This window comes from Homo sapiens, chromosome 1 (assembly GCF_000001405.40).
Source record: "Homo sapiens chromosome 1, GRCh38.p14 Primary Assembly".
Taxonomy (NCBI): Eukaryota; Metazoa; Chordata; class Mammalia; order Primates; family Hominidae; genus Homo; species Homo sapiens.
The window spans coordinates 25,432,405-25,444,422 of NC_000001.11; the positions used below are offsets into that span (position 1 = coordinate 25,432,405).

General features: G+C 39.1%; 1 protein-coding gene across 3 annotated transcripts in view, besides 1 other annotated feature; it reads left to right on the forward strand.

The window, feature by feature from the left end:
* Window positions 1-12,018, forward strand: part of MACO1 (macoilin 1) — a 69,313-nt gene that overhangs the window by 1,508 nt on the left and 55,787 nt on the right. The gene's annotated exons all lie outside the window — the stretch shown is intronic.
* Window positions 3,425-3,514: an enhancer, noted in NCBI's record as "active region_457". NCBI's record gives its function as "activates an Ori minimal core promoter by ATAC-STARR-seq in GM12878 lymphoblastoid cells {active_cell/tissue: GM12878}" and the evidence as "EXISTENCE:reporter gene assay evidence [ECO:0000049][PMID:35858748]".

Below are 12,018 nucleotides of genomic sequence, written 5' to 3' on the forward strand. Positions count from 1 at the left end.
CTTATAAAATGAGCCATAGAGCATAGGAGTAATTCATTCATTCATCAGTTATATATACTATGTGCCAGGAACATTTCTAATCAGTGAAGATAGAGCAGTGAGTAAAACAGACTCTAATCTATGCTGGATGAATCGAACTTGACCATTTTAACTTGAACTGTGAAAGCAAACAATTTTTTCTACACATAGATGGAGGAAAGGTCTCTTCAATTCACGTTACATACACTATACATTCTTGAATTAAAGAAAGTTTTTCCCCTTTGGCTATTGAAAAATATTTGACCAACTTAACATTAATGGTAACATAAAAATAGGAAAGGGATATTAAACCGAGTTGGTAGACTTAGCACAACTGTGGCATTTGAATAGCTGCTATTTACAGTAACATAAGATGATGTACCTCCATTTATAGCAAGAAGATTGAGAGTCCCATATTGTTTACGTGTTTTCTGCTGTATTTCCATTTCTCTGTACTTGAACAAATAGACCCAGTTTACAACCTGCGCCATAATAGCTACTCAGTGTGAATCGATGTGAAGAAGTGAATTCATCGTTTAATGAAGATTTATCATCTTACTGATGGCTTTTGAAATTTGAATTTTCTTACCCTAAAGGTTAATTGTAAATACTCTTTGCAAGTTATTCAGAGGTTCATCTGCAAAATTTTAAAAACCGACAGTGCATTAGCCTTAAATCTTCTTATGCTTCTCTGTTTTGCATTCTTTAAGTTAAATGTTAATAAAAGACCTAAATGTATTTCTAACTGTCTTTCCTGGTTGGAGTATCATATATCAAATGAGCGTTTCAACTCACTTATCTGTTTCTTGGTTTATATTATGGAGTATTGGACTGAAGAACAAGATTTTTTTTTTTTTGCCCAATTCTGTTTTTAAAGAGATTTAGAAAAATTTCCTGTTATTTCTAAAGCAAACAGGATGAGTGGACTGGTTATAAACTAGAATGCTTGAGGATTCATGAATATCAAATTTCTGGTGATCATCAAATTTAAGTCTATGCTAAGTTGTTTTTCACACCATCTATTGCCCATTTTGTTTCTCAACAACATGTGGCCAATTTTGGATTCATTAAACAGAGAGCCTTGTTTTTTTTCTGGGGCCGTGTTGACAGTTTTGATAACCACTGTCTACTGTTTCATAGCCAAACCTTTCATGGACTTACTATTTTCATGTTCTCAGTCTGTACAACTTTCTGAGCCTTGGCATAGGAAGGAGGCAGCTGTGGTGAAAAGCGCACTGGACTGCAGGAATCAGGAGACCCAGGATCAGACTCAAAATCCCAGCTCTGCTGCTTTAGGCAGACAGGGCATCCACAGCTTTGAGCCCCAGTTCTCCCACCTTCAAATGAGTTTTGAGGACTAAAGGAGATATGTACAGTTTGTGAAATGCTTTATAAATCCTAGTGTAGTTTACAGATACTATTTACCATGTTGTTGCTATCACAGTTTAACGTGTGGTTAATTTTTTAAGGAGGCAGGAAATACTGTAAGATTTGGTGCAACTGTAAACAAAAGTTGAGTAGCCAAAACAAAGGGTCAGTTGCTGTTTGGTCTTGCTTTAAAAAATCCTGTTGTGGACTCACTTTTAAATCATGGGCTGCAGTCCAACAACTGTTACTGAGGTGACTGTCAAATGATATCATTTATTGTGAGTATCATGGCTGTCTTGGAATTCTGTTTCGGGGTGAGATGCAAGGAAAATTAATTTTAGACATTATGTTAATGTAATCTGCATTTATACATATAAAACATCATTTGAAAAGTGAAACATGCTATAGAAATATTTTAGTCCAGTTAATAATTAAAAATAGGAGAAAGGAAATAGGAATAGTGATCTTTTCATCTTACTAGGGGCTAAAGTTCGATGTAGTTTTAAAAAAATCTGACCCAGCCCAGAGCCTGACAGAGTCGACATTCAGTGTTCAATAAATGTTGAGTGAGTAAATTAATAAATGAATATAAGCTAGTCCATTTCATTCATGAAGTGCCTACGTTGTTCAGGGAATTGCGGAGGATACAGGATAACACATGGCTCATTGTCTTCAAGGAGTTTACAGTCTAGTAGGCCGTAGTAATACCATCTTAAATTTGTACAGTGGTTTAGAGTTTCCAAAGAACTTTAAGTTCTGTTCAAGTAAAAATATTTCTGTTGTGCTAAATTTTAGCTTACTGTTTTAGTGGTTCATCTGACACATTAACAGCTGTATTTTGCTCTGTGCTATTTTATGATAAAGTAGACAGTTGCCACTATATGAGGGAGTCTTTTCTATCTCAAATGAGATAGATATGAAAGTACTTTAAAAATTATGAACATAAGTTATTAAGTACCTAACTCTTATATTTCTAAGGTCCTTTGGTTTTCTGGGCTGGGTTCTCTCCTTGTGTCTGCCTAGACACATGTGCACCAGACACTCCCGATAGTAATATCTCATTGCAGGCAGTGATTTTCCAGGTGAGGTGAGGTTAGGGTACTATGTAGTTTTTAAAAGCCTTAAGGGGATTCTGTATGGTTTACCCCTACCTCTCACCCTGCCATACTTTCCACTCCCTTCCCTCAGAGAATTACTGACTTTATAATATAAAAATGAGGAGATAAGATGTGGTAAGTAGAAGAAGGAGGCAGAAACATTTATGTTTAAAGTATACATATATTCCAAATCGCTACAGTTAAATGGTTATTTATGCAAGTAAATATAATACGAATTTTAAGTAAGGTATATGTTTTAAGCTTCTGGGAATGATTTTATATCTGTGTTACTGGTGGCTGAAGGAAGTACCCTTTCACTGTGTATTTAAGACTGCTTCCTGTCTTCATGTACTGGATTCTGCTTGTAGTGCTGTGTGAAGCTTAGGCAGTGCAGTATTGTACCTGACTGTCATATTTTTGCAGCTTAATGCCTTAAAACTAGGACTAAGAACTCAGCACTGGTGTATATGTTATTATTTCCCATTTTTATTTCAGAGAAAAATTCTCTGGTCCTTGGGGCTCCTCAAAAGTGACTTTTTAAAGTGATTAAATTTTGCATTCTTCTCAACTTCCCAATTTCCTTTTTCAGACCCTTGTCTACATCTGATCTCCAGAGGTTTCATTTGACTGCTTTTTCTGCCTCCTTAATGATGTTTTCTAAGCCTAGTTTTAGACTCCTTTGGGCTATGCTTATTAAAGTCACTGCAGGCTGTCATGACCCTTGGCTGCCTTGATTGTACATGTGTTCTGCAACTGAAACCCCAGATACCTGTGTTGCAATCTCATAGCCTAAAAGCATTTTGGTAATCTTGGTAGGCTTTAACTTTAACAATCCTGGACCTGGCACGAAAGTGATAGATTCTGTATTGTTTTAGAGGAGTGTTGGGGAAGGAGAAATTGAAATGTTTTCACTAACCTGTGCAGTGAAGTGTTTATTAGCTAAACTCTTCTATTTGTGGTTTTCACAAAATACACTTTAAAAATCGGCCACACTGGGATGAAAAAGCACTTTCCTCCAACTTTCATTATGATTCTTCCTGTCTGAGCAGTCTTGGCAGTTTAGTTTCATTAGGTGTTTTGAAAATCCCTTTAAATTGCTGCTGGGTTGAGGAGGGGAACAGGAGAGAACGTGATTCACTTCACATTATTTGCTTAAAAGCTTCCTGTTTTATCATTGATAGTCTCCTTTTTCTTCACATCGATTCCTCATGGCCTCTCTTGAACCTCACTAGATTTAGAGATTGATCTTAATGGTAGGTTTAACAAATAATTATTTACATTTTCTTACTAGTTATATGCTTGTATATATCTCATGGACCCAGTCCATGTTCTGTAAGCATTTATGTTCCTAGAATCTTTTTCTTTGGCCATTTCTCCCAGATCTCCCCACTGATACTGTTAACCCTTTGGGGTTTTATGTATATAAAGTGCACTTTGTTTTATCTGTTTCTAGGCTACCATCTTGTGGAGTTTGGAGGGCAAGTAGAAATTTCACAAACATAGTTAAGTGAAATACTGTAATTAGGTTACTTTTCTTCATAAAATTTAGTGTGCTCTTCAGATATACTGATTAGTTTATCCCCAGGCTTACTAGATTTGGGCATAATTATTTTACTTGGCTCTTGCTCAAGAATTAAGTCCAGAAGAAAAAGAAGTTGGCTGTCCAGCAAGCTGCATAAGTAGGATGGTACATACAACAGTAGATACACATATCCTTGTTAGACTTTTTCCACTGTGGATTTCTTCAGATGCTTAAGTAGTGACTTTTCAAAGCCTCTCACCTTGCATCCTGGCAATGGAAGCTTGAAAAAAGTTAATCAACTTTTAGAGAATATTGAGGCTCTGTATCTTTAATTTGACATTTAACCGACATCAAATTGTCTCAGCTGATGAGCCTTCCAAGGCACTTGTCTTCCCTGGCCTTTGAAGACAGTCATAGTACTGACCTTGATTGCTTTATATTTTTTTCTCTGCTGCCTTTAAGGATGATATGCCCACTTTGAGTCATGGGATTGTGGCACCAAAAATAATGTATCCCTCACCCCATCTCCTCTGTTGCCTTCTCTTTTTCAGAGCTTTTGCATTTAGTGATTAAAATGGTGTGACTACTCCACTTTCATATATCTGTTCATATCACTGATGAGTTTGAGCTGTTTAGGACCGATCTCCCACTCAGCACAGAGGAGTGGCTAGAAATAATCTCATTCTGTTTTTGAATCATATTGTTACGTTGTTCATCTTCAAAACACTTTTTTTTTTTTTTTTGAGACAGGGTCTCATTCTGTCGCCCAGGCTGGAGTCCAGCAGCGAGATCACAGCTCACTGTATCCTTCATCTCCTGGGTTCAAGAGATCCTTACACTTCAGCTGACCGAGTAGCTGGGACCAAAGGCATATACTACCATGCCTGGCTTTTTTTTTTTTTTTTTTTTTTTGCGTTTTTGCGTTTTTATAAAGATGGAGTCTCGCCGTGTTGTATAGGCTGGTCTTGAACTCCTGGGCTCAAGTGAGCCACTCACCTTGACCTCTCAAAGTACTGGGATTATAGGCATGAGCCACCGCACCCACCCAACACTTTTAAAAACCAAATAAATAGCTGAGTACTAAAATCAGTACTTTGCCTATCTTGTAGCAAGAATAGTTGAACATTAAAGAGAATGAATACTATGTTCATGTCCAAAGTAAGGATTCCTGTCTCAGAAAAGAGAGATACTGTCTGAGGCTTGAGTCGTCTTGCTCAGATGTAATAAGAATTTTTGGCCGGGTGTGATGGCTGTAACCCCAGCACTTTGGGAGGCTAAGGCAAGAGGATTGCTTGAGTCCAGGAGTTCAAGACTAGCCTAGGTAACATAGCGAGACCTCATCTCTACTAAAATTCAAAAAAATTAGCTGGGTGTGGTGTCACATTCCTGTAGTCCCAGCTACTTGGGAGGCTGAGGCGGGAGGATCACGTGAGCCCAGGAGTTTGAGGCTGCAGTGTGCCATGATCGTGTCACTACACTCCAGCCTGGGCAATAGAGCAAGACCCTGTGTCAAAAAAAGAGAATTGGCTGGGCGTGGTGGTTAATATAATCCCAAAGTGCTGATATTATAGGCGTGAGCCACCATAATCAGCCCCCAATTTAAAGGAAAAAAAAAATCTAGAATGGAAATCGCTAAAAAAGGTTTTCACGGTTTTGTAGTATAACATTTTTATAAAGGTCTGTATAGACCACAGAGATATCAAGGACAGGTATTGTAACCTAATGCAGGTGGTGAGTTTTAGAATTTCTGTTTCAAGAATACTTTTAACAGTGTGGAGTCTATGGGGTTGAGGAAGGGGAGGGGTGAAGAAGCATAGGCGGAGAGAGAAAACAACTCACAGGCTCTAAAAAAACCTGTTAACATTATATAAACATTAGAAATTCATTTCATAAGGGAATCAAAATTATGCTTCATATAATTGATAGTAATAATCTGCTTAATCACACCTTACATTTCTGTCTTACTTGTAACTTTTCCAAATGTTTTCATATTATCTCATTTTATCCTCACAAGTGTGAAATAGGCAGAGTAGGTATTGCCATTTTATAGGAAACAAACCTGAGGAATAGAGAACTAAAAAGCTGCAAGGCACTATTGAAAGAGTACAGAAACAGAAGTTAGGAGACTGCAGAGAACAGTGTAAATTCTATGTGGAACTCTATGTTGCTGCTAAAATGGATAAGGGAAATTCTATATAAAGAAGTGGACATGACTGGGCCCCGTGGCTCACGCCTGTAATCCCAGCACTTTGGGAGGTCGAGGCGGGTGGATCACCTGAGGTCAGGAGTTCAAGACCAGCCTGGCCAACGTGGCGAAACCCCGTCTCTACTAAAAATATAAAAATTAGCTGGGCGTGGTAGCATGCGCCTGTAATCCCAGCTACTTGGGAGACTTGGGAGAACTGCTTGAACCCAGGAGGCAGAGGTTGCAGTGAGTCGAGATTGTGCCACTGCACTCCAGCCTAGGCAACAGAGTGAGACTGTCTCAAGAAAAATAAAATAAAATAAAAAACTAAAAAAAAAAGAAGTGGACATGTCAAACAGAAACCTGTTTTTGTTAAGAAAGAAACACATTTGTTTATATAGAAAAAGCAAATTATATTTATGAATTATATAACAGCAATCATCTTGGGGCAGGACTACTAAGGGCTTTTATATTATACATTATATTACCTTTTTAATAACAAGTATGTGTTGCTTCTTTTTAACTTCTCATTTTGAAATAATTTTAGATTTAATTAAACAGAAAAGTCACAAAAATAGTACAAAGTACTTACACCTTAGTGAAAGGCATAAGATACCCTATTTATTTATTTATTTATTTTTAAAGAAAAAAAATAGCCAGGCATGGTGGCTCTTGCCTGTCACCCTTGCTACTTGGGAGGCTGAGGTGGGAGGATCGCTTGAGCTCAGGAGTTGGAGGTTGCAGTGAGTTATGATCACACCACTGCGCTACAGCCTAGGAGACAGAGTAAGACTCTGTCTCTGAAAAAAATAAACAAACAAAAAAGGGCATATTTCACACTGTTAGATTTGTCATTGCAGTGGCTGCACATGTACGCGCGCGTGTGTGTGTGTGTAATTGACACTAGAAAGGTTCCCTTTGCAGTATGCAGGAGGCCTAGAATAGAAAAAAGAAATATAGAACAGCTTGGTCTTCTCAGCCTGCTCCCCTTTTTTGGATTTTATACAAGGAGGTGCCTGCAGAATGCAGCAGTGGTTCCAGTTTATTTTATGTTAAGGCTCACACACAAATTTCTGTTTTTTTTTTTTTTGTCAAAAAATTTTTTTGTCTCTGGATCTCTTTACACTCTTAAAAATGATTGAGGCTGGACACTGTGGCTCACACCTGTAATCCCAGCACTTTGGGAGGCTGAGACAGGTGGATCACTTGAGGTCAGGAGTTTGAGACCAGCCTGACCAACTTGGAGAAACCCCGTCTCTACTAAAAATGAAAAATTAGCTGGGCATGGTGGCGCATGCCTGTAATCCCAGCTACTTGGGAGGCTGAGGCAGGAGAATCACTTGAACCCAGGAGGCAGAGATTGCGGTGAGCCGAGATCGTACCATTGCATTCTAGCCTGGGCAACAAGCGAAACTCTGTCTCAAAAAAAAAAAAAAAGATTGAGAATATCACAGAGATTTGGTTTATATGGATTATATCTATCAATATTTACTGTATTAGAAATTAAAACTGGCTGGATGTGGTGGCTCATGCCTGTAGTCCCAACACTTTGGGAGGTCAAGGTAGGAGGATCACTTGAGCCCAGGATCTTGCTATGTTGACCAATCTGGGCAACATAGCAACATCCCATCTCTACAAAAAAAAAAAAAAAAAAATTAGCCAAGCATGGTGGTATGTGCCCGTAGTCCTAATTACTCTGGAGGCTGAGATAGGAGGATCACTTGAGCCCAGGTTGAGGTTGAGGCTGCAGTGAACTATGATTGTACCACTGCACTTCAGCCTGGGCAACAAAGGAAGACCCCAGTTCTGGGAAAAAAAAAAAAAAAAGAAGAAAGAAAAAAGTTAAAATAGAAAAATTTAAAACATTAGTTCACTTAAAAGTACCAATAAATTGCTGAGCACAGTGGCTCACGCCTGTAATCCCAGCACTTTGTGAGGCCAAGGCAGGCGGATCACCTGAGGTCAGGAGTTCGAGACCAGCCTGGTCAACATGGTGAAACCCCATCTCTACTAAAAATACAAAAATTAGCCAGGCATGGTGGTAGGCACCTGTAATCCCAGCTACTTGAGAGGCTGAGGTGGGAGAATCACTTGAACTGGGAGGTAGAGGTTGCAGTGAGCCAAGATTGCGCCATTGCACTCCAGCCTGGGCGACAGAGTGAGACTCCATCTCAAAAAAAAAAAAAAAAAAGAAAAGTAACAATAAATTAATAAATTCATGAGAAGACTGGTGTGGTTTTACATTTTTGCATAGCTCTTTAGTGTCTGGCTTACTAGAAGATACTTTGAGAACCACCGCTGTCGTCAGAGCCAGTGGCAGGTAGGCCAAATGGAGTGATAGTCTGGCACCCAGAACAAGGCTTATTAAATTAGTTTCTTCATAGTGAAGAACATTCAGAACAGATGGGAGCAGGTTCATGGTAATCGTTCAGGCAGAAGCTGCATTGGTTATCTTGGTTGTTGTTGCTTTGTCCAGACACCTTCCCAGTCAGTCACCTGTGTGTCATCTCTCCCTCTATATTCGTTGTAAGTATGTGCTTTGGTAAAAGTCCTACTGTCAGTCCTAAACACTTTTCTACATTACAGATCATTCATTCAACATTTTTTTTTTTTGAGACGGAGTTTTGCTCTTGTTGCCCAGACTGGAGCTCAGTGGTATGATCTCGGCTCACTGTAACCTCCACCTCCTGGGTTCAAGCGATTCTCCTGCTTCAGCCTCCAGAGTAGCTGGGATTACAGGCATCTGCCTGGCTAATTTTTTTGTATTTTTAGTAGAGACGGGGTTTCACCATGTTGGCCAGGCTGGTCTCGAACTCCTGACTTCAGGTCATCCACCCGCCTCAGCCTCCCAAAGTGCTGGGATTATAGGCGTGAGCCACTGCTCCCGGCCTCAACAAATATTTTTTGAGAAAAAAAATAGTTAAGATCCTGTAGTCAGAGTACTGTGCTGGGCACTAAGGAGATAAAACAGGGAACAAAATGGGCAGCTCCTTTTTTCTTGTGGACTTTACATCCGAACAGTTAATTACACAAAATATTATTTAATTATCATTGTGATTCAGTGTTCTTATAGTACAGGATGCTACGTGAATATGTAATGGGGTCCTAGTCTTTACTTTGGGGTTAGGGCGGCTTATTGTGAGGAAGTGATATTTGTGCTGTGTGCCGAAGGATGAGTAGCTATGGAAGTGCTTCATTTAGTTTTAATTGTACTTAGGTAGGGATCTTGGCTTTGACTCAGAAAGAAATGTAGAAAAATGGAAGAACTAACCCTGAACAGTTTGAATGTTCCCAGTTATGAGAAGGACAGTCAACCATTTGGTGATAAGTACGGATTATCTGATTAGGGCATTGTCTTTTTTCTGAGACATCCTGTAATTGAGTGGAAATTCCATGACAATGAGAAATTTATGTTATATACCAGTGCTTCTAAAATTTGATTGTATGCGCAAGTAGCCTAGGGATCTGGTTAAAATGCAGGCTTAGATTAAATAGGTCCTGAAATTCTGCTTTTCTAAAAAGCTAATATGTGATGGTGATTCTGCTAGTCCAGAGACCAATACTTTGATTAGCAAGGCTGTAATTAACAAATGGCCAGTGTGAGACTTCAGGTAGAGTACAAGCCAGATAAGGGGCTGAACGAATGTTCTAGAGGTGATGTCCAGTAGGGAGAGGTATTGGATAACAGAAAAGATAAAGCAGTTTGGTCTAGGAAGTATGGCAGATACTGAATGCAAAAGGTGACTCACAGTTGCCATTACTGAGAGGACAGGAAAGCTGGGATTGAGATGGATGGCTACTAGCAGAGCCAGTAAAATATTCCACAGACTCATTTCTGTAGTGAGGACCAAATGAACTAAATGGCCATTAGTCTGCCTAGGGAAAAGGTCAGGTACTAAGGATTGATGGCCAGCTGGTGGTAATTGTGTGGGCTCCAGAAAATGATCTAGATGATAAGCAGCTAGAGATACTGGAGAAAAGGTGCACTTTACTTGGAATAAGAAGAATGTTGAATACTGCTTCTCATTAATCATAGATGATTAATCTATGGATGGAGAGTACTGCTAAATGGATTGAGGTAAAAAAATGGTTGTAAATGGCAAAGGTAGGAATAGAATGGGGGGAAACCTTATAGATAATATTCACTTTGATAGAGTCACCACCATTAAGCCTAACAATTGCATAAGACTGCTTAATTTCATTGGCACTCGGAAGCTTACAAGACCATCAGAAGATGTTATTCATTTGCCCTTGTTTCAATATATTATTTTGGAAAATATCTTTTTGTTGCAGTTATGCTTTAAAATTTTGTTTAAGATACAGTATAGTTATTAGCAAATTTATTTGGATCAGAGAATCAAGGTAACATCAAATTAGCCATGAGTCATATAATGAACTGTGTATAAAAGTATTTTATATTTAATCATATTTTCTTCATGGTTTAAAAGAAATATTTTAGAATGCCATGATGGCTTAAATCCCTGTCTAATTTTCTCATCCCTTGGAATGTCATCTCTTTAGATTTGGCAAAAATCTTATGACCTTCAGAATATGAAAGGAGAGGAATTAGGGCTTTTACTGTGATGAGCAATTAATTTAGGTTACTTGTCTTTAACTTCTGTACATGTACCTACAGAAGGATAAGAGGCATGATTTACTGATGGAGAGGGCTAAGTGAATACTGAATCAGGCAGCTGTCTTAAACTTCTAAAACCTCTAAGACTAAAATGACTTAATAGAATTCAAGATTAGTCTTAGAGAAAGGTTTGTTAATTAGGTTGTCTCTTGATTTTGGAGGCAGGCCTGCCTGAAAGGAGAGCCAGAGGAAAGTTGAGGGTATGGCATACGTTTGTAAAAGATCAAGTTTTCTTAGATACCTGTACTTCTAAACTGTGACTCAGTAAGAACTGGGTGTCAAGGAACATCAAAGGTATGAAAGCAGTTGTTTGAAAAGAAATGTATCAAAAGGAACCCCGCCTTAAAGTTATGCAATTGAAAAAGAATAGTCACTAACAAAGATGGTAATTTTTGAACTACGTTAGTTTTAAATGATTGAATTATTAAAAAGTACGTATTCAACAGGCTACCATTCTTTGGATAATCCTATCTAAATAGTGAAGCGGAGTGTTGCCATGGCAGGATCTGACTGGGGTCTGACTGGGATCCTGCCATGCCTTGGGGGCATTTTGGGCAGAAAGCAATTGGTGGTACTCTTTCTTCTCCACTTTGGGAATGGTAAGGACTAGACCTGATGGGGTACCCTTCATGTCTCATTCAGCTACATTCCAGAGATAGCTCCATGGGGAAAAGGATTAATCAGGAAAAATAATATATTTCCATGCCCTTTTTTTTTTTTTTTTAAGAGATGGTGTCTTGGCCAGACACAGTGGCTCACGCCTGTAATCCCAGCACTTTGGGAGGCCAAGGCGGGCAGATCACTTGAGGTCAGGAGTTTGAGACCAGCCTGGCCAACATGGTGAAAACACGTCTCTACTAAAAAAATACAAAAATTAGCTGAGTGTGGTGTGGTGGTGTGCACCTGTAGTCTCAGCTACTTGGGAGGCCAAGGCAGGAGGATCACTTGAACCCGGGAAGTGGAGGTTGCAGTGAGCTGAAATCATGCCACCACACTCCAGCCTGGGTGATAGAGTGAAACTCAGTCTTTAAATAAATAAATAAATAAATAAAGAGATGGGGGTCTCACTTTGTTGACCAGGCTGGACTTGAACCCCTGGGCTCAAATGATCTTCCTACCTCAGCCTCCCAAATAGCTGGGACTACAGGTGCACACCACTGCTTCTAGCTATGCCATTTTTTAAAAAGTGCTC